This window comes from Homo sapiens, chromosome 15 (assembly GCF_000001405.40).
Source record: "Homo sapiens chromosome 15, GRCh38.p14 Primary Assembly".
Lineage (NCBI taxonomy): Eukaryota > Metazoa > Chordata > Mammalia > Primates > Hominidae > Homo > Homo sapiens.
Genome location: NC_000015.10, coordinates 21,608,727 through 21,632,160, shown reverse-complemented (window position 1 = coordinate 21,632,160; position 23,434 = coordinate 21,608,727). Strand labels below are relative to the sequence as shown.

General features: G+C 36.3%; 1 long non-coding RNA gene, 1 other non-coding gene and 1 pseudogene across 2 annotated transcripts in view; 1 reads left to right on the top strand and 2 right to left on the bottom strand.

The window, feature by feature from the left end:
• Nucleotides 1-23,434, bottom strand: part of LINC02203 (long intergenic non-protein coding RNA 2203) — an 87,749-nt gene that overhangs the window by 8,361 nt on the left and 55,954 nt on the right. The window contains exons 5-8 of the long non-coding RNA NR_015416.2: nt 22,693-23,081; nt 15,936-16,031; nt 15,343-15,431; nt 14,917-15,120 (exon numbers count right to left, since the gene is read on the bottom strand). This is a non-coding gene — a long non-coding RNA (long intergenic non-protein coding RNA 2203). The remainder of the gene's footprint in view (nt 1-14,916; nt 15,121-15,342; nt 15,432-15,935; nt 16,032-22,692; nt 23,082-23,434) is intronic.
• On the top strand, nt 13,930-14,030 carry LOC124903610 (small nucleolar RNA U13). The gene has a single exon (XR_007064835.1). It is a non-coding gene; the product is annotated as a small nucleolar RNA U13 (small nucleolar RNA).
• Nucleotides 17,172-18,109, bottom strand: OR4H6BP (olfactory receptor family 4 subfamily H member 6B pseudogene; annotated as a pseudogene).

Below are 23,434 nucleotides of genomic sequence, written 5' to 3'. Positions count from 1 at the left end.
ATGTGTTTGTTAAATGGATGGATGGATGGGATGATTACATGGATTTTTTATTGAATAAATAGATCAGTAGACTTTGACAAAAATTAAACACCACAACATCTAATTGTTTTTATTAATTCATTTCTTCTTTCCCTACTCTGCTACATAATTCCTAATTTTGCTTTTTGGAATCCTTTTTGTTAAAATACATATTTCACCCACATTTATTTCAAGTAAGAGTCTCTTTGCTTTTAAGTTTCTTTTTTGCTTTTCTATTTATTTTCAAAGTTTTTGCTACTACTAACACTAATCCCTTTGAAATGAAATATTTCAAGCCTCACCTTTCCCTTCCTCTTCACAGAGATCATCCTGAAGAACTATAAGAAGTAACTACCATGCCTATTCCAAAATTGACCACATAGTTGGAAGTAAAGCTCTCCTCAGCAAATGTAAAAGAACAGAAATTATAACAAACTATCTCTCAGACCACAGTGCAATCAAACTAGAACTCAGGATTAAGAATCTCACTCAAAGCCGCTCAACTACATGGAAACTGAACAACCTGCTCCTGAATGACTACTGGGTACATAACGAAATGAAGGCAGAAATAAAGATGTTCTTTGAAACCAACGAGAACAAAGACACAACATACCAGAATCTCTGGGACGCATTCAAAGCAGTGTGTAGAGGGAAATTTATAGCACTAAATGCCCACAAGGGAAAGCAGGAAAGATCCAAAATTGACACCCTAACATCACAATTAAAAGAACTAGAAAAGCAAGAGCAAACACATTCAAAAGCTAGCAGAAGGCAAGAAATAACTAAAATCAGAGCAGAACTGAAGGAAATAGAGACACAAAAAACCCTTCAAAAAATCAACGAATCCAGGAGCTGGTTTTTTGAAAGGATCAACAAAATTGATAGACCGCTAGCAAGACTAATAAAGAAAAAAAGAGAGAAGAATCAAATAGACACAATAAAAAATGATAAAGGGGATATCACCACCGATCCCACAGACATACAAACTACCATCAGAGAATACTACAAACACCTCTATGCAAATAAACTAGAAAATCTAGAAGAAATGGATAAATTCCTCGACACATACACTCTCCCAAGACTAAACCAGGAAGAAGTTGAATCTCTGAATAGATCAATAACAGGAGCTGAAATTGTGGCAATAATCAATAGCTTACCAACCAAAAAGAGTCCAGGACCAGATGGATTCACAGCCGAATTCTACCAGAGGTACAAGGAAGAACTGGTACCATTCCTTCTGAAACTATTCCAATCAATAGAAAAAGAGGGAATCCTCCCTAGCTCATTTTATGAGGCCAGCATCATTCTGATACCAAAGCCGGGCAGAGACACAACCAAAAAAGAGAATTTTAGACCAACATCCTTGATGAACATTGAGGCAAAAATCCTCAATAAAATACTGGCAAACCGAATCCAGCAGCACATCAAAAAGCTTATCCACCATGATCAAGTGGGCTTCATCCCTGGGATGCAAGGCTGGTTCAGTATACGCAAATCAATAAATGTAATCCAGCATATAAACAGAACCAAAGACAAAAACCACATGATTATCTCAATAGATGCAGAAAAAGCCTTTGACAAAATTCAACAACCCTTCATGCTAAAAACTCTCAATAAATTAGGTATTGATGGGACGTATTTCAAAATAATAAGAGCTATCTATGACAAACCCACAGCCAATATCATACTGAATGGGCAAAAACTGGAAGCATTCCCTTTGAAAACTGGCACAAGACAGGGATGCCCTCTCTCACCACTCCTATTCAACATAGTGTTGGAAGTTCTGGCCAGGGCAATTAGGCAAGAGAAGGAAATAAAGGGTATCCAATTAGGAAAAGAGGAAGTCAAATTGTCCCTGTTTGCAGACGACATGATTGTATATCTAGAAAACCCCATTGTCTCAGCCCAAAATCTCCTTAAGCTGATAAGCAACTTCAGCAAAGTCTCAGGATACAAAATCAATGTACAAAAATCACAAGCATTCTTATACACCAACAACAGACAAACAGAGAGCCAAATCATGAGTGAACTCCCATTCACAATTGCTTCAAAGAGAATAAAATACCTAGGAATCCAACTTACAAGGGATGTGAAGGACCTCTTCAAGGAGAACTACAAACCACTGCTCAAGGAAATAAAAGAGGATACAAACAAATGGAAGAACATTTCATGCTCATGGGTAGGAAGAATCAATATCGTGAAAATGGCCATACTGCCCAAGGTAATTTACAGATTCAATGCCATCCCCATCAAGCTACCAATGACTTTCTTCACAGAATTGGAAAAAACTACTTTAAAGTTCATATGGAACCAAAAAAGAGCCCGCATTGCCAAGTCAATCCTAAGCCAAAAGAACAAAGCTGGAGGCATCACACTACCTGACTTCAAACTATACTACAAGGCTACAGTAACCAAAACAGCATGGTATTGGTACCAAAACAGAGATATAGATCAATGGAACAGAACAGAGCCCTCAGAAATAATGCCGCGTACCTACAACTATCTGATCTTTGACAAACCTGACAAAAACAAGCAATGGGGAAAGGATTCCCTATTTAATAAATGGTGCTGGGAAAACTGGCTAGCCATATGTAGGAAGCTGAAACTGGATCCCTTCCTTACACCTTATACAAAAATCAATTCAAGATGGATTAAAGATTTAAACGTTAGACCTAAAACCATAAAAACCCTAGAAGAAAACCTAGGCATGACCATTCAGGACATAGGCATGGGCAAGGACTTCATGTCTAAAACACCAAAAGCAATGGCAACAAAAGCCAAAATTGACAAATGGGATCTAATTAAACTAAAGAGCTTCTGCACAGCAAAAGAAACTACCATCAGAGTGAACAGGCAACCTACAAAATGGGAGAAAATTTTCGCAACCTACTCATCTGACAAAGGGCTAATATCCAGAATCTACAATGAACTCAAACAAATTTACAAGAAAAAAACAAACAACCCCATCAAAAAGTGGACGAAGGACATGAACAGACACTTCTCAAAAGAAGACATTTATGCAGCCAAAAAACACATGAAAAAATGCTCATCATCACTGGCCATCAGAGAAATGCAAATCAAAACCACAATGAGATACCATCTCACACCAGTTAGAGTGGCAATCATTAAAAAGTCAGGAAACAACAGGTGCTGGAGAGGATGTGGAGAAATAGGAACACTTTTACACTGTTGGTGGGACTGTAAACTAGTTCATCCATTGTGGAAGTCAGTGTGGCGATTCCTCAGGGATCTAGAACTAGAAATACCATTTGACCCAGCCATCCCATTACTGGGTATATACCCAAATGACTATAAATCATGCTGCTATAAAGACACATGCACACGTATGTTTATTGCGGCATTATTCACAATAGCAAAGACTTGGAACCAACCCAAATGTCCAACAATGATAGACTGGATTAAGAAAATGTGGTACATATACACCATGGAATACTATGCAGCCACAAAAAATGATGAGTTCATGTCCTTTGTAGGGACATGGATGAAACTGGAAATCATCATTCTCAGTAAACTATCGCAAGAACAAAAAACCAAACACCGCATATTCTCACTCATAGGTGGGAATTGAACAATGAGATCACATGGACACAGGAAGGGGAATATCACACTCTGGGGACTGTGGTGGGGTGGGCGGAGGGGGGAGGGATAGCACTGGGAGATATACCTAATGCTAGATGACGAGTTAGTGGGTGCAGGGCACCAGCATGGCACATGTATACATATGTAACTAACCTGCACAATGTGCACATGTACCCTAAAACTTAAAGTATAAAAAAATAAAATAAAATAAAAATAAAAATAAAAATAAAAAGAAGTAACTAAAGATCTTGCGGTTTTCCTGACTTTCTTCCAGGAGTAAAAGGATTCAAAATTTTGGAAGTTTATTTTAATAATCTGTCACGCTCTGAAGACCCATAAATCAAAACAGCCTTCTCTGAGCTTGCTTAGAAATGATTCATCCTATGAGTATAAAATGATGAAGCTGTCTCTTCAATGCCCTGTTCAACCCTGACTTTAAAATGCTTTAATTATTGAGACCAAGGCTGAAAAGAAACAATTTGTCCACCCACTCCACAGCTAAAACCTACTCTATACTATCATCACAGTTCCCTAAGACATTTCCTTACATGCTGCTTTCTGTTTCTTACCACTGATCTCTGAGCATTTTACATAGTTATTCCCATCATTATTATCTGTCCTACTGTCTCAAAAATAGGATGGTTTATGTAAATGTTATAACAACATTCCACCTACCAATTACTGTGACAGTCTTGGTGCCTTCAGGAACTATGGGGAGGAGGTAGAAGAAGCCTCTTCCACCACCCGCAGTGGAGGACTTTATCCTGGGTACATGTTGGTATGCATCAGTTTCTGCCCTGATGTAACAGTAAACTAACTAGCAGCATGAGCTGTAACTACAAAAATCAATCCTCTGGAGGCCAGGAGAAGCCAAGTAGGAACATAAGCCCTGAGGGAATAATTTAAAAGTTGATTTGCACTTCATCCAAAGAGCACAGAAACACAACTTTTGAGTTTCACAGAAGAAGTAAGAAAAATGGCGAATTTCCCAGGATTAGGGGTGGAAAATGCTACGATGTACAATATGTGCTCTCTAGAGTATGACGTGCATTTTCAATTCTATTGTCCCAGAGGACAAAATAAGTTGTGCTGGAACAACTGGTTAACCAGATTTTTTAAAAGAATTATATTTTATAACTTATACTTAACATAAATTGCAAAGGAGTAATTTTTTTAATTACTAGAAACATAGAGAGACTATTTAAATTATTTTGGAATAAATAAAAACTTTTAAGTATATCCTGCCCCTATGAAGGAAAAACAATAAGAAAAGAGTTATAGCATATTTGATAATGAAATTTAAAATTTATCAATGGCAAACACAAATATAGGGGAAAATGTTAGAAATTAAAACAATTTAAAATTACTAGAAAATAAAGACAAATTTAACAGGCAAATAATGAACAGAAAAAAATAAATTTAAATAACTCCATTATATAAGAAGCACTTAAAAATCAGTCATACTATGGCAAAAATAATAATGATAATAATGCAATTTCAAAGTGGGTGAAAAACTTGAAGACATTTCTCAGAGGAAATACACAAATGGCCAACAGGTATAAGCAAATATGTTCAGCATCACTAGTTGTTAAGGAAATGCATATCCAAACACCAATGAGATATTGCCTCATGCCTATTAGCATGGCTATTATCAAAAAACAAAAGAAGTGTTGGCTAGAATTTAGGGAATTGAAACTCCTATACACTTTTGGTGGAAATAGAAAATGGTGCAGTCACTATGAAAAATAATGTGTCAGTTCCTCAAAACATTAAAAACAAAATTATTATATGATTCAGCAATCCCACTTTTAGGAATATGTCCAAAAGAATTGAAATCAGAACCTCAAAGAGATACCTTTACACCCATGTTTACTACAGCATTATTCACAAAAGCCAAGATATGGAAACAGCCTAAAAGTCCATAGACAGATGAACAAAGAAAATGTGTTAGACATCAGCTAGAATGGCAGAGTAGGTGATCTCAGTCTTTATTCCTCCTAAAGGAACAACAACTGGGCAAATATCCACAAATGAAAATATCTAGCAGAGATCAGGAATCTACTTCAGAAGTTAAAACAACAGAGCAGACAGAAAAACTTCAAGAAAAAACACAAAAAAATGGTAGAAAAAACAGTTTCATTTTGCCTGCGTCATCTTCCTCAGGCTGGCAGTGCTCAGTATGGAGAGGTCACTGCTCAGCTTGCAAGTTCCCCTTGCAGAGAAAAGAAGAGTGGAGTGAACCATCTTACCCAGCCTACTGGAGCATTGCCCAAACAACCAGCTTAAGTTTCACCCATCCCAGATTGCTAGGGAGACCAACATAGGAGAGAAATCTGTAAACTGCTGGTAAGAAAGAGAAATGATGAGGTCTATCAGTATCAGTCCTGTGGTAGGAATCAATGCAGTCCCCAGTAGCCTGATCTGAGCGGAATTCTGGTAGCCTTCTATACCAAGGACCTCAACAGCCCTCATGGATGTGACACAGGATTCTTTGAGGGCCACTTTGCCAAGTGGAAATCTCGATGGCCAGCAGAGCCTCTGCTGAGGCTTCACTCAGGCCCTCTGAGCTCGTCCTGCTCATTTGGCCTGGCAGGCTGTGCTCCACTCATGCTCACTCACCCAGATGCCATGACACCCACCGTAGCTCAGTGCTCAGCCCACGGTTGGTTTGGGCATGCTATGACTGACTTCTGCCTTGAGCGCTGGCATCTGGATAAGGGGGATGCAGCAGTGCCCAAAAACTCAGAGATGCCAGCAACTGTGGAGCCCGAAGAGGTGTTACAGCTTTTGCTCTGGGAGTCAAGGTCTGAGCCCCCAGGAAGTGTTACAGCTCTTGTTCGTTCTCACTGCTGGCAGTTTCAGCAAATGGGGATGTGTCACAGCTCATTCAGTCCTGCTGCCCACAGCTCAGCAATTGGGGACTTGTGGCACCCAGCATTTTTTTTTCACTTCTGTAGCTTGGTGAACAGGAGGTGTATCTTACAGCTCTTTTCGCACCCACTGTTCAGTGGATCCTGGATTCTTGTCCTGCAACCAACAGGAATGAAGCATGCAGACACCGCAGAGTGAGCAAGGCTGATGAGATTTTTATTGAGCGGCAGAAAAGCTCTTGACAACAAGAGAGTAGCCAAAGTGGGCAGCCCTCTGTGTAAGAGTGGGGCTGAAAGCAGAGAGCCATCTGTGAGGCTGAGTCTGGGGTTTTTATGGGCTCAGAATGGAGGAATCTGTGCTGATTGGTTCATGGGCAGGCCTGGAAAAAGCACCATTTAATTGACTAAAAGGCACTGAGGAAGTTCTCAGTTGGGTCGTGGACTCCACCTGGAACTGGCGGCTTGGTTTTCAGGCCTCAGGTTGTCTTTGGCTTGAAGGTTGGGATTCACCAGGGACTTATCCCTGTCTGCCTAGGAATCTGTCTGTCTCCTGTCATTATCAGCTGCACATACCACACTGCTTTTACTACCAAGGAACCCACAATTATCATTGCACAAACTATAGTACTTAACTCCACAGAGGACTCCAGCAGGTTTAGTCACTGACAAAATCAACACCCAAAGATCACAAAGAAGCAGGAAAACATGACACCACCAAAGGAACAAAATTAATTTCTAGTAACCAACCCCAAAGAATTGGAGATCTATAAATTGCCTGGAAAAAATCAAAATAATTGCCTAAGGAATCTTGGGGAACTACAAGAGAACACAAATAAATAGTTTAATGAAATCAGGAAGACAATCCAAGAACAAAATGAGAAGCTCAATAAAGAGACAGAAAATATTTTAAAAAGAACCAAACAGAAATGTTGGAGCTGAAAAATACAACAGCTAAACTAAAAAAATGTAATAGAGGCTTGAACATCAGACTAAGTGAAGCAGAATAAAAAAATAAGTGAACTCAAAGACCGAGCATTTTAAATCATCCGGTAAGTGGAGATAAAAGAAAAAAAAGAATAAAACCTACAGAAGCCATGGAATACTATCAAGAGAGCTAACATTAGAATTATAGTAGGTTCAGAAGAAAAATAGAGAGAGCATTAGATAGAAAGCTTATTTAAGGAAATAATCATAGGAAACTTAGCAAATGTCAGGAAAGAAATGAGCATCCAGATGCATGAAGCCTAAAGTTCTCCAGTCAATTCAACCAAAAAAAGAATCCACAAACATACATTATCATCAACCTGGCAAAAATCAAAAACAAAGAGAGAAGCTTGTAAGCAGCAAGAGAAAAGAATCATGTCATATAAAAAAGGACCCAAATAAAGCTATCAGTGGATTTCTCAGCAGGAACCTTGAGGATCAGGAGAGAATGAAATAATATATTCAAAGCAATGGAAGAAAAATAAAACTGCCAACCAGCAATATTTTGCCAGCAAAGCTGTCCTTCAGAAATGAAGAAGATAAAGACTTTTTTAGAAAAAAAAAAGAAAAGTTGAGTGAGTCTTCACTATTGCTTGCCTTACAAGAAATGCTAAAGGGGGATTTTTAAGATTAAATAAAAGGCAGCTAATTAGTAACATTAAAACATATAAAAATATAAAACTAACTGGTAAAGTATATATATGGTTAAATTTAGAATATTCAAGCACCATAATGGTGGTGGTGTAAATCACAACATCATTATAAAGTTATAAGATGAATGTATGAAAAATGACTATAGCTATAATAAATTCTTAAGACATATAAAAAATGTAAACTGTAACATCAAAAGCACAATGTAAGAGAAGGGAAGTAAAAGTACAGAGCTTCTTTAGCAATCAAAGTGAAGATGTTATCGTCTTTAAGTGAATTGGTTAAACAATAAGAATATTTATGTAAGCCTCATGGCAACCACAAATTAAAAACCTATAGTAAATACACAAAAGATAAACAGAAAAGAATCAAAGCATACCACCGAGGAAAATGATCAAATCACAAAGGAAAACAACAAAGGAGTAATAAAGGAATAAAGGACCTACAAAGCAACCAGAAAACAATAAATTGACAATAATAAATCTTTACTTACCAACTATAAATAAGCAAATTTTGTCAATCAAAAGACAAAAAGTGGCTGAATTGATTTATAAAAATAAGATCCAACTAAATGCTGCCTACAAGAAACTCACTTCACCTTTAATAACACACATAGACTAAAAGTAAAGGGATAAAAAACAAAAATATTCCATGAAAATGAAAACCAAAAAAGAGCAGTAGCAGTTACATGTGTATCACACAAAATAGACTTTAAATACTGTCACAAGAGACAAAGAAGGTCATTAGATGTTGGTAAAAAAGTCAATTCATCAAGATAATAGAACAGTTATAAATATGAATACACCCAACATCAGAGCACCTAAATATATAAAGCAAATATTAACAAATCTAAAGCAAGAGATAGACTGCAATGCAATATTAATAGAGAACTTTAATATCTGATTTTCAACAATGGATAAATCATCCAGAAAGAATATTATTAAGAAAACATTGTCTTGAACTACTTCAGACTAAATGAATCTAATAGACATACACGGAATATTTGATCCAACAGCAGAACACACATTCTTCTCAAGCTTACACAGAATATTCTCCTGGACAGATTGTATGTTAAGCCACAAACAAGTCTTAACAAATTTCAGAAGACTGAAATCATATCAGATATATTTTCTGACCATAGTGGTATGAAACTAAAATCAATAATAACAGGAAAACTGGAAAATTCATGTACATATGGAAATTAAACAACCACCAATGGGCCAAAAAAAGAAGTCAAAAGGTAAATGTAAAAATATCTTGAGACACATGAAAATGGACATGACATACAAAAAGGTATGAGATGCAGCAAAAGTAGTTTTAAGGGAGAAATGTATAGTAATAAATGTTTACAAAAAAAAGACGAAAGGTCTCAAATTAACAACCTAACATTACAGCTCAATGAACTAAAAAAAGAACAAACTAAGCCCAAAGTTAGAAAAAAAGGACATAACAAAGATTAGAAAAGAAATCAATGAAAGTGAGACTAGAGAAACAGTAGAAAAGATCATGAAACTAAGATTGATTTTTGGAAATATAAATAAAATCAACAATACTTGATCTACACTGAGAAAAAATAGACTTAAATAAATAAAAGCCAAAATGAAAAAGGAAACATTACAACTGATGCTACAAAAAATATAAAGAATCATAAGATAATACTATGAACCATTACAAGTCAAAAGATTGGATAGCCTAGAAGAAATGGATAAATTCCTAGACACATACAGCCTACAAGACTGAATCATGAAAAGCTAGAAAATCTTAACAGTAATGAGTAAGGAGATTGAATCAATAATAAAATCTCCTATCAAAGAAAATCCTAGGACCTGATGGCTTCATAGTTGAATTCTACCAAATATTTTGAAAAGAACTAATACCTATCCTTCTAAAATCCTTCCAAAAAGTTGAAGAGGAGGGGATATTTTAAAACTCATTTTACAATGCCAACGCTGCCTTCATACCAAACCCAGATAAGGACACCAACAAGAAATATAGATTATAGGCCAATGTCCCTTGTGAACAAAGGTCCAACAATCCTCAACAAACTACTGGCAAACCAAATATACCAGGACATTAAAAAGATTTTGCATCACGACAAAGTAGGATTTATTCCTGGGATGTAAGAATTATCCAACATACACAATCAACAAATGTGCTACACCACATTAACAGAATAAGAAATAAAAACCATGAGATCATCTAAACAAATGCAGAAAAATCATTTGACAAAATTCAACATTCTTTCACAATACAAAATTTTCAACAAATTAATTATAGGAATGTACCTCAACACAATAAAGCCTGTATATCACAAGCCTATGATAAACATTATACTCGATGAGAAATTGAAATGTTTCCCTCTAAGATCAAGAACAAGACCACTCTCCCCACTTCCATTCAACATAGTACTGGACGTCATAACCAAAGTAATTAGGAAAAAGAAATAAAGTGCATCCAAATAAAAAAGTTAGTGTCTCTGTTAGAAGATGGCATGATCCTATGTAGAAAGAATCCTGAAGACTCCACTAAAAAACTGTTAGAACTAATAAGCAAATTCAGTAATTTTGCAGACTACAAAATCAACAGAAAAATTCAGTTGCATTTCTTTACACCAATAATGATCTATAGAAAGAAAAAGTCAAGAAAAAGTTATCATTATGAGCACAGCAAAAAGAATAAAATACTTACAAATAAATTTAACTAAAGAGGTAGAATATCTGTACACTGAAAAGTATAAAAGATTAATGAAATAAATTGTGGAAGACAAAAATAAGTGAAACATATCCCATATTCATGAACTGGAAGAATTAATATTGTTAAAAAGTCCATACTACTGAAAATGATCTGTACATTCAACGCAATCCCGATCAAAATGGCAATGAACATTTTTCACAGCAATGGAAAAAATAATTCTGAAATTCATATGCAACCATAAAAGAGCATGAAAAGCTTAAGCAATCTTGAGTATAAGTACAAAGCTAGAGGTATTAAACTTCCTGATTTCAACTCCATTACAAAACTGTAATAATCAAAACAGATGTTGCTGGCATAAAAACATGTATACCAATAAAACAGAATAGAAAGCTCAGAACTAAACTCACATACCTACAGTCAGCTAATTTTTTCAACTAAGGTACCAAGAATATACAATGTAAAGGACAGACTCGTCTATAAATGATGTTGGGAAATTGGATATCCACATGCAAAGAATCCGTGCTTCTCTTATTCCAATCACAAAAGTTAATTCAAAGTGGATTATAGACTTAACATAAGACCTGGCCCCATAAACTCCTAGGAGGAAACATGGGGAAAAGTTCCTGGATATTGGTCTCATCTTTATTTGTTTGATGAAAGAGAAATCTACAGAAAGGGAGAAAATATTTGTATACCATACATCCAATAAGGAGTTAATATCCAAAATATATACAGAACTTATACTACCAAATAGCAAACAAACAAGCTTCTAAATGGGCAAAAGATATTTTTAAAATGATTTCATAAAATGGGCAAAGGATCTGAATAGATATTTTTCCAAAGAAGATACACAAATGGCCAACAGGTATATGGAAAAAATGCTCAAAATCAGAAATCATCAAGGCAAATCAAAACCTCACTGAGATATCACCAACCACCTGTTAGATTGCCTTTTATCAAAAAGTCCAGTGATAGCATGTGTTGGCAAGGATGTAAAGGAAACCTGATATGGTTTGGCTGTGTCCCCACCCAAATCCCATCTTGAATTATAGTTCCCGTAGTCCTCACATGTCATGGGAGAGACCCAGTGAAAGGTAATTGAATCATGGGGGCAGTTTTCTCATGTTATTCTAGTGATAGTGAGTAAGTTCTTACAAGATCTGATGACTTTACCTGGGGCTTTATCCTTTACTCAGTTCTCAGTCTTCTCTCTCTTGCCACCATGTGAAGAAAGACATGTTTGCTTCCTCTTCCACCATGACTGTGACTATAAGTTTCCTGAGGCCTTCCCAGCCATGCTGAAATGTGGGTCAGTTAAACCTCTTTCCTATATAAATTACCTAGTCTCAGATATGTCTTTATTAGCAGTGTGAGAACGGACTAATACAAAACCCTTGTAAACTTTTGGTAGAGATATAAATTAGTGCAACCATTATTGAAGACAGTATGTAGGCTCCTCAAAAAAAAAAAAAAAAAAACTTCTCATATAATAACAGCAATCCCACTTCTAGGTATGTATGCAAAAGAAATAAAACCACTATCTTAAAGAGATATCTGCACTCTCAAATTCACTGCAGCATTGTAACACTAGCCAAGATATAGAAACAAACTAAGTGTTCATCTACAGATGCATAGATTTTTTTAATGTGGTACAAACACACACAATGGATTATTCAGCCTTAAAAAGAAGGAAATCCTGCCATTTGCCACATGGATAAACCTGGAGGACATTATGCTAAGTGCAATAAGCCAGATACATAACGACAAATACTACATGATATCCCATACAGGTGCAATATTTAAAAAAATCAAACTCATAGCAATGGACAGTAGAGTGGTGGTTAGCAGGGGCTGGGAAATGCCAGGAAAAAGATGTTGGTCAAAGGGTACAAACTTTCAGCTACAAGATGAGTAAGTACTGGAGACCAAATGTACAGTAGCTTCAAATTTGCTAAGAAAGTAGATCTCAAGTGTTAACACACACACATACACACATTATACACAAATGGTAATGATGTAACATGATGAATATATTAATTAGCTTGGTTGTGGTAATCATTTCATAAGTATGCATATACCCTAAATATATGCAAATTTTATTTGTAAATCATACCTCAATAAAGCCTGAGAAAATTGTAGTATATATATGCAATGGAGTATTATTCAGCCTTTAAAAAGCAACTTACAGAAGGACAAATACTGCATGATCTCACTTATGTGTGGAATCTAAAATACTCAAACTGAAGGTAGGATGGCGGTTGCCAAGAGTGGAAAGGAAAGGGAGAAATGAGGAGATAATGGACTAAAGGTTACAAAGTTTCAGTTATGCAAAAATGAGTGAGTTCTGGAGAGTTAATGCACAACATGGTGTCTGTATTACAATGCAATACTGTATTGGACAACTGAAATGTACTAAGGGAGTAGATCTTAAGGGTTCACACCACACACAGAAAAACATAACCCTGTGAGGTAATGGATATGTTAATTATCTTAAGTGTGATGATCATTTCACAGTGTACACATAGTTCAAAACATCAAGTTGCACATTTAAATATGTATGATTCTTATTTGTCAAATATACTTCAATAAAACTGGAAAAGGGGAATGAAGGAGAATAAGCTAGACCATGTGGCCACATGCTGGTTGACCTCCCACTGAAGGTCATTCCTCCTTTCAAATGGCTATCATAAATATCTCTTTTTGGGGTTTCTGTATTTCCTCCCTCTCTCAGTCCCTTCAGGCACAATGGTGTAAACAGCTCCACCCCATCTTACCCCTGGCCTGTGTGGTACTCTATACCTATAAATTCATAGACAGCATCTCGTTAAATAAATGTTTATCAAATTATCCTATATTAAGTGTGTCATTAACTTCCTGTTGGAACTCTAAATGATATAATTTTCTATAAATGTATCCTTCCTTGAGTGTATCAACTTGTTTCATCTTATTGACTGTACCTTTACAACTAAGATGTTTCTATATATTAGATAATATAAATTTTCACACTCTCCTTTCTGTTTTATGAACCTGGAGGGCTTCCATCTTCTGCTTTCATCCATTTCTGTTGTCTCCTATGCCTACTGTACATCTGTCATCTTAAAAGTGCCTTTTGATCCCTTCGTAGTTCATAAGCGTGATGACTGAGTTTTTGCACTCCTGTGTGAAATGTACCTCCCTCAAACCTTATGACATATATACATTACCTGACTCACATGAAGAAAGAAAAAAGAGATTGGGATTTTTTTTAAAGTGGCTTTAGCCACCCTGCATTGCATATATTAGTTTATTGATCTCATTTCTTCCTCTTGTTTTGCTGGGATATATTATCCCACACTTTCAAAAAAAGAGAGTACTTATGAAGTAAACTTTATAAATTTTTGTATGATTAAATATGCTTTATTCTATCTTCCTGATAGATTTGTTCTGTATAGAATTCTAGCCTGAAAATCAGTGTGAGAAACTTTTCCACTGTATTCTAAGGATGAGCTTGCTACAGAGCATACTCATGCCATTTGAATTTCTGTTCATTCGTGAGCTATACGGTTTTTTCTTAATAATTTTACAATATTTTCAATCGTTAAGGTGATAAAATTTCATAATAACGTGCCTTGGGATTTTTTTTAAATCTTGTGGTGGGCATTCAGTAAATCTTTCATATCGAGAAAATTAAGCTTTTCTGTTCTAAGAAATTTATTTTCATTGTTTCTTTTAAATCCATCCTTCTGTTTAATTTGTCCTCCTGGAATATGTGTGAGTTGAATGGTTTGCCCCTAACTTGATTCCTTGTGTTTCTTGTTTTTATCTTTCATGTTTTCTATTTCTTTGACATTTTCATTCTACTTTCATAGAGACTGTACTTTTATGACTTCTTTGACTACTTGTTTTATTTCTTTTAATGCCATATTAATTTTATTGTTCTTTTTGATTTTACCTTCCAAAAATAATTTTTCTATATTTTTTCAGTACATCATATTCTTATTTCAAGATTACAAATATTTTCTTTCATTGATGAGAAGATACAGTTTTTTACAGTTCCCCCCCCCCCCCCCGAATTACCTCTAATTCCACCAGTTTCCTTTTGGCTTTTTTAAAGACTTACTTTTTTCTTTTTTTCAAAAGCCTTATGTAAATTTTAGATTGATCTCTTAAGCCAGCTTACTAACTGGCAGGCTTCTGGTCAGGGTTCCAGTAGAAAGGTAGCCATTTCATTTGTAATCTCCAAAGGCAGATGTGACATTAACATTCAGTTTCTTAAACAAAGGTGCCAATGTTCTGTCTGTGACTCATATGCTACCGTTAGCATCTGGGAGCAGAAAGAGAGGATAGAAGATTGAACTGTTCCTTTCTCTTAATCTTCATTAGCAGCCCTGAACCTCACCTCCCGCTGACCTGGCATCCTGCATCCCAATCATCGTAGGGATTCCAGGAAATGAATCTCTCCCCTTTTCCTCACTATTCCTCTTGTTGGGAATTTAGACTTAGCCTTCCCGACCCTCCCAAATCAGTTACTACTTTTTTGTCTTACCTTTTCCAAACTTTTGTTGAAATCTCTTCTCTGCATCTAACTCCTGTCCTGTTTCTTTGTTCCTGTGGGTCTCAGCCATTTTTTTCTTACTGCAAGTGTTGTTATTTTTATTATTAATACTTTGCTCTTAGGAGGGAAAAGGAAACCTAATGTATTCTATCATTTTTAATATAATTTGTGGGTTTGTTGTCTATCTTAAAAAATCAGGAGTTTAAAAAAAGGATAGAATGACCCTTTTGCAAAGGGAAAGTAATATGAAAATAACTATAAGGACATGCAATAACTATAAAGAAATTTTAATAATCAAAATGTTAATGGTGATCATGTATGAGAGGGCTGGAGTAGACAAACCATTTTAAAGACTTTTCAAAAGTCCCACCAACCAACTACTATTAACATCAGATTGTCCACTGGGCTTCAAAAGGAATATCTTTTTCTTATAAGGTCATTCTAAATTATTGAATTGAAGTTTAAAAGAGCCTGAGGCAAGTCAATGCAATATTTTAGTTGGGCCACCATGAATAATGTCAGGTCCCCATTACTAAGGAAAAAAATAGAAATTGGAGTTACAATCAACAGATTTTGACAAGTACCTACTGTGCAAGCCCCTCTAGTCCATACATGAAGAGTAGAAAAGAATATACATCATTTGTATTCTTCATAAGTTGTAGATCTCAGATAAAAATCCACTAAAAAAGAGAAAAAGGTAAGTGATATTTTATAAATTGCATACAGGATTGCTTAAGGCATATAGAAAATAAATGTTGAACAAAAATAATCAGGGCAGAATTCTTGAACAACATCAGTCATGAGACAAGATCTAAGAAAATTTCTTAGAAGAAAAATGCCTTTTCCAGAATACTGAGAATACTTAACTATTTTTCAACTTTACTAAGAATACCACAAGAAGAAAATGTGCTTATTCCATTTTGTTGTTTTAAGGAACTGAAGACAAGTTCAACTAAAAATTTATAATAGAATTACATCTCCTTAGTCATTTCAATGGTACAAATACCAACTCATTTTAGTTGCTTTAATCTAGTCTGTTTTTATTGGCAAAAAAGTAAGATTTCTTTCAGTAAAGATAGTATTATAGTAATGGGTAGAAGAGTATTCAAATTCTCCAAGAGGGTCTTTGAAGAAATTGCTGTCCACCTCAAAATATGTAAAGTTCTATTTTTTTTTTTCCTGCACAGAAACCATCCTTTGGGCAATTTGTTGATTTATACTAACCCTCTTCATTATAGGAAGTATGTATTTCTATGTCTGCATTTGTTGTATTGTATTGTAATTATCTCCTTGCAAATCTGTTTCCCTGACTAGATTTTGCAATATGTATAAGAAAAGACTAGAGAAGGACGAAAAAGAAAACAAAAGAAGGAGGGAAAAGGTGCAGCTTCTGGTAAATTAGACCTCTTTTTTGAAGAGACATGATATGGTGAGAAGATATGATCAGGGATATCTTTCTCTTATAACCCCACTCTAAATTACTGAATGGTAGCTTAAGAGAGTTTGATGTGAATAGAAGGGATTTAACGAGGTTAAATGAGATATTGAGTAGGAGTGTTAACTCTTGTACTCTAGAAGAGAGAATAAACCTTGCCAAGTATGGAAAGGTTTAAGTTTAGCCCGTCTAAAATAGCCTCAAATTATTTCCTGTTAGACAAAATATAAAAGCTGCATTTTAGGAACTGTTTTTTTAATTATTAGTAAATTAGGGATCATTGAAGGTATCCACTAATTCAGTGATTTTGCAATTCTGACAAACTATCCTCTCTGCTTTTCCTTCAAGGAGATCTTGCTACTCCATAGCCACCTCATGGCATTCTTTACTCCTCATTCCTCAGAGTATAGATGAGTGGGTTCAGCATTGGGGTGATGGTGGTATAGAACACAGACACAGCTTTATCCAATGGGAAAGTAGTGGATGGAGATAAATAAAGATACACGGAACAAAGAAGAAAGTTACTATAGTCAGATGAGATCCACAGGTAGAGAGAACTTTGTGTCAGCTCTCTGCAGACTGTTTTTGAAGACTAAACAGAATGACTGTGTAGGAGGCCAAAAGAATGAGGAAACACCCCAGGGAGATGAGACCACTGTTGGCAACCACCAACATATTTACCAGAGTTGTATCAGCACAGGCAAGTTTTAGGACTGGGTGGACATCACAAAAGTAATGGTCTATAACCTGAGCATTACAGAAGGGCAGCTGGAAGGTCAGGACGGTCTGAACAAAGGAATGACCCAGGGCCCCCAACCAGGACAGTGATGCCAGCACAGTATAAGCATTAGCACTCATGATGACAGTGTAACGGAGGGGTTGGCAGATAGCAGCATAGCGATCAAAAGCCATGACAGTCAAAACAAAAATCTCAGCACAACCAAAAAAGTGGAAGGTAAACATCTGAGTTATACAGCCCCAGTAGGAAATAGTCTTTTTCTCAGAAACAAAGTCTTCAATCATCTTGGGTGCTGTGGCTGAGGAACAGGCAATGTCCACAAAAGACAGGTTACTGAGGAAGAAATACATGGGTGTGTGTAGTCGGGAGTCAGAAAAGACCATAAGCAAAATGAGCAAATTTCCCACCATGATCACGACGTAGAAGAGGAGAAATAAGACAAAGAACATCAATTGCATTCCAGAATCTTGGGAAAGTCCCAGGAATATAAACTCAGTGACATTGTTGGCCACTTTCATGGGGCCCCAGGCAGGACTCGTGGAGTGACTCTGGTTCTCTGCAAAAATAAACACGTTATAAACCATGGTAAGCATAGTAAAGCCTATCAGTAAGAGTCTTGTGAAAACACCTATATGATGTTAAATATGGTAGAGAAAGTTCTTCATATTTCTTGAACATAGTTCATGAATATTTTTCTTGTCTTTAGCTTGATTTCCACACTATTGACTCACATTTGAATTTCTTTCATAATTAGTCTTATAGTTCCTCTTTTCCATACAAGAACCTAGAGAATCTGAGTCTTTTTTATTGAATTTAATGTTTTTCCCTAATCAGCGCTCTCTCTCCCCCCACCTCCAACTTCTCTTGTCAGAAATTTACTTTGGAGTGAGAACTTTGTTTAAATAAATTAATTAATTTTTTGAGGCTGTAAATAAAAGCATGAAGTCAGAGTATAAGATCTGATGTATAAAATTTCAGAATCCTTCAAATATAATGTATGCTACTCACCTATAGAAAAGTAACATTTTATTTAATCAAGAGAGGAAGACTCAGTTTCCAATTTCTCAATTAGATTAAAAGTCTCTAAATATCTCCTAGATTTTGGTCTAGGATTTTCATAGTTTGTGGCCTTACATTTAAATCTTTAATCTATCCTGTTAATTTTCTTACATGCTGAAAAGCAAGGGTCTAGCTTCATCCTCCTGCACTTTGCACATCAAGGAATTAGAAAATAAAGGACAAACCAACTCCATAGCTAGCAGAAGAAAAGAAATAACAAAAATTAGAGAACAACTTAATGAAAGTGAGGTGCAAAAATCTATACAAAACGTCAATGAAACCAAGAGTTAGTCTTTTGAAAAAATAAGATTGTTAGACTGCTAGTTAGATTAAAAAAAAGTAAAAAAAAAAGAAGATCCAAATGAGTACAGTCAAAAAGTACAAAAATGACATTACAACTGATCCCACAGAAATACAAAAGATCCTCAGAGAATACTATGAACAACTGTATGCACACAAATTAGAAAATCTGGAAGAAACGGATAAATCCCTGGAACAACACAATCTCCTAAAATTGAATTAGGAAGAGACTGTAATCCTTAATAAGTCAATATCAAGCTCTGAAATTGAATCAGTAATAAAAAAAAAAAAACTCTACTAACCAAAAAAAGCCCAGGACCAGAGGAATTCACAGTTGAATTCTACCAGACATATAAAGAAGAAATGGTACCAATCCTACTGAAAGTATTCCCAAAAAAATCAAAAAGGAAGGGCTCCCCCCTAACTCATTCTATGAAGCTAGCATCAGCCTAATACCAAAATCTGGCAGAAACAAAACAAAGAAAGAAAACATCAGGCCAATATCCTGATGAACATAGATGCAAAAATCCTCAACACAATACTAGCAAACCAAATTCAGCGGCACATCAGTAAGTTAATTCACCACGATCAAGTAGGCTTTGTTCCTGGAAACAAAGAGAGACTTGAAAATGCAAAAGGGAATACAAAACGCTCTTGCTTTTCTTAAAATAACGCTACCAATTCCAGCTATCAACAGGACATTTAAAATGATTTGCCAAGACTATACATTTTGCTATGAAAGAGAGCATCAGAAAAAGGGGATGTTGCAGCCGGCTTATACTAAGAGAAAGCCTGGAGCTCTATGTTCTTGAAACATGCCTGGTAATCCCTAGCACCACTCAAATCTTTCTGGTAACTCACACACTACTCTCGGGCAGTTTCCTGCACTTCAGGATATTCAAAATATTACCTTCAGGATATCATACTGCTCTTCAGGATATTCAACGTATGCAAAAAACTCTAAAAGTGTAGAGCAGAGTAAAGCAAAAAAGAAGAACATGATGTTCCAGGTATGCCATTCTCACCCTCACCCATACTATTTAGAAATCTCCCAAATGGCAGCCTAGTTCCTAGTCTGTGAGGAGTCCTTCTGTAGCAATATATACATATACACATACGTACATATGGCTTCTTAAATATGAAGTCATTAACTCCCAACACAAAAATAAAAATACATTTTTTGTCCCTATATCAAGAAAGCTCTTACATGACCAGGGTTATTGGCATTTTCCAGTATATCCTAGTATTAGATGGAGTTTCAGACTTTTTTTCACAAGTATATTTTTCAGCTAAGTAATCATAAATACCTCTCTATGGCAATTCATTAGGAGATAAAGTGACAAAATATAAAAAACATTATAAAAATTTGTCATTATCTTATTATATAGTAAATAGAATAAAGACTTTTCATAGCCATAAAATATTGCAAGGATCCTATGTCAGAGATAGATAATCTTAAATATAAATGTTTAAGTTAACCTTTTTAGGGATCTTCCAGCTCTGAAGCTCCTATACAGGTATTATAGAAATTAAGTAATCTAGCCAGGTGTCGTGGCTCACGCCTGTAATCCCAGCACTTTGGGAGGCTGAGGCAGGCACATCACCTGAGGTCAGGAGTTCAAGACCAGCCTGGCCAACATGGAGAGACCCTGTCTCTACTAAAAATACAAAAACTAGCCAGGCATGGTGGCCGGTGCCTGTAATCCCAGCTACTTAGGAGGCTGAGGCAGGAGGATCACTTGAACCTGGGAGGCAGAGGTTGCAGTGAGCCAAAATCGTGCCACTGCACTCCAGCCTGGGAGACAAGAGTAAGACTCTGTCTCAAAAAAAAAAAAAAAAAAAGAAAGAAAGAGAAAGAAGAAAGGAAGGAAGAAAGAGAGAAAGAGACACAGAAAGAAAGAGAAAGAAAGAAGCAATCTGTATAATTGGGATAAATACACTTTCTGAGGAGAAATAAAATATTAACTTAATTATATAATTATTAGCTTTCTTTTTTTTTTTTTCTTTGAGACCGAGTTTTGCTCTTGTTGCCCAAGCTGCAGTGCAGTGGTGCGATCTCAGCTCACTGCAACCTCTGCCTCCCGGGTTCAAGTGATTCTCCTGACTCAGCCTTCCTGAGTAGCTGGGATTACAGGATTACAGGCATGCGCCACCATGCACGGCTAATTTTGTATTTTTAGTAGAGATGGGGTTTCTCCATGTTGGTCAAGCTGGTCTCAAACTCCTGACTTCAGATGATCTGAACACCTTGGCCTCCCAAAGTGCTGGGATTACAAGCAGCTTTCTTGATTGATTACATTTTTTCTAAGTGGTCATGGGCAAGTCACTTAACTCAGAGTTCATTTTCAAAAATGAAGTTAGGTAAATTTATTCCTCAAACATGTTTGAGACTCAGAGGTAATAACTGTGAGCATCTCAAGAATGAGTGCTTTCAACCACAGTTCATTTCTTCCTCCTTTCGAGGCTAAAACTCTTAAACATTATGGTCAGTTGAAGAGCCAGCTTACCTATTCACCCTCACTGTAATTCCACTCAAAGAAAAACTCAATGTGAAACTGGGTACCTCTTCTTGAGAAGCCTCTACAACAGAATACTAACAGCTTCCATCACCCCTGCACTCCTGGACTTCCTTTCTCTCACACGTAAACTTTGCTAAGAGCATATGTTCATTAGAGTGATGCCTGACTACATTTCTAAAACTTGGGACACTGTGGAACACAGTTCTGAGGTAAATACTACTACATAGGTGGTTGTTACTGTTCTCAGGCTTTGTTATAACAGAACAAAGAAATTCACACTACTTCAGAAGAGGATCTGATGAGACATCAGAAGGAACTTCCTAACACTAGGAATCATTAAATGCTGGAGGAAAGGAACACAAAAAGAGATATATCTTGTTTCATTTGAATAGATTAAAAAGTGGAACAAATTGAATAAATGAAGAGTACTTAGAACATGAAGATAGAAAAGTTGATCTTTCAATTAATGCTTGTTATTTGTGGCCAGTAAATTCTACTGAGTTCCCGAGTTCTCTTGATTATGGTCAAAAGGCATAGGTGGCTTTCCAGAGTGCCACCTGTGCTTTTAAATTGTAATCAAGAGTGATCTATTATAATCTTTAGGCTATCTTTTTTATACCAAAGTCATCAAAATGGTTTTTAGACATGTACAAGATGAGTTAAGAGTCTTCCAAGAAAGAGTATGTTTTTCAAATCACCTCTTCTGCTCATTCTTTAACAAGGAAATGGAATGTCACATGGTTTTATCCTCAGCTTCTTCATAGCTGTCTTCATATCAGCATTTCTGAGTGTGTAGATGAGGGGGCTCAACATAGGTGTCATCACTGTGTAAAACATGGAGAATATCTTATCCACAGAGAAGCTGCAGAAAGGCCTCAGATAGATGAATATACATGGCATGAAGATCAGGCTGACCACTGTCAGGTGAGAAGCACAGGTAGAGAGGAACTTGTTCTGGCCCTGGCCGAAGTGTGTTCTCAGGGTGATCAGGATGACAGCATAAGAGAATAGTAAGACCAAGAAGCAGACAAGAGAGAGCAGACCACTGTTGGCTATCATCAGCACCTCTACCACATAGGTGTCCATGCAGGCCAGCTTGATGACCTGTGGGACATCACAGTAGAAGTTGTCCAGTTCATTGGGGCCACAGAAAGGCAGCTGGATGACTAGTATGACCTGCATGATAGAGTGGATAAAACCCCCACACCAGCAGGCAAGAACCAACCAAAGGCATAGCTGGGGGTTCATGACTTATAAGGTAGCGCAAAGGGTTACAGATGGCAACATACCTGTCATAGGCCATAACTGTCAGCAGAAACATCTCACTGGCTCCTAGAAAGTGGAGGAAGTAGATCTGGGCCAGGCATCCTGAAAAAGAGATGCTCTTGCCCTGCTGTAGGAAATCCCCTAACATCTTTGGCAGAGTAACACAGCTTAGGCATAGGTCAATGAAAGAGAGATGACCTAAAAAATAATACATAGGAGATTGGAGCAGATGAGCATGGGCTTGCACTGTTACCACTATCAAGAGGTTTCCCAGGACAATAGCAATGTAAAAAAACAAAAATAGTAATAAGAGAAATAGCTGCAGCTCCCAAGAAGATGATAGGCCCAGAAGAACAAGTTCTGTCACGTTAGAATCTTGTTTTTTTTCATCAAGCCAAGAATATCAAGTGACCTAGAGAAAGAAGAATTAAATCAGAACAAGGGAGATTTAAGGTATCAATCTATCTACGTATCTATCTATATAGATAGATATAGATATACACTATATATATAGTATGTAATACATAAATTACATAAAAATTATTTTAGCAAATTCTATGAGGTAGTATAGGCAGTAGTCTTATATTGATAGAACATTGAATTTTGTTCACTTCTTCCAACTCTTTATTCCTGTACTACTTTTAAATTGCATTCACAATAAACTAGAAAGAAACACAATGACCTGGACATGAGGTGGTAAGTGCTAATCTTTCCATTTCTTTTAATAGACAGAATAATGTCCTCTAAGGACAAAAGTTCTGGAAT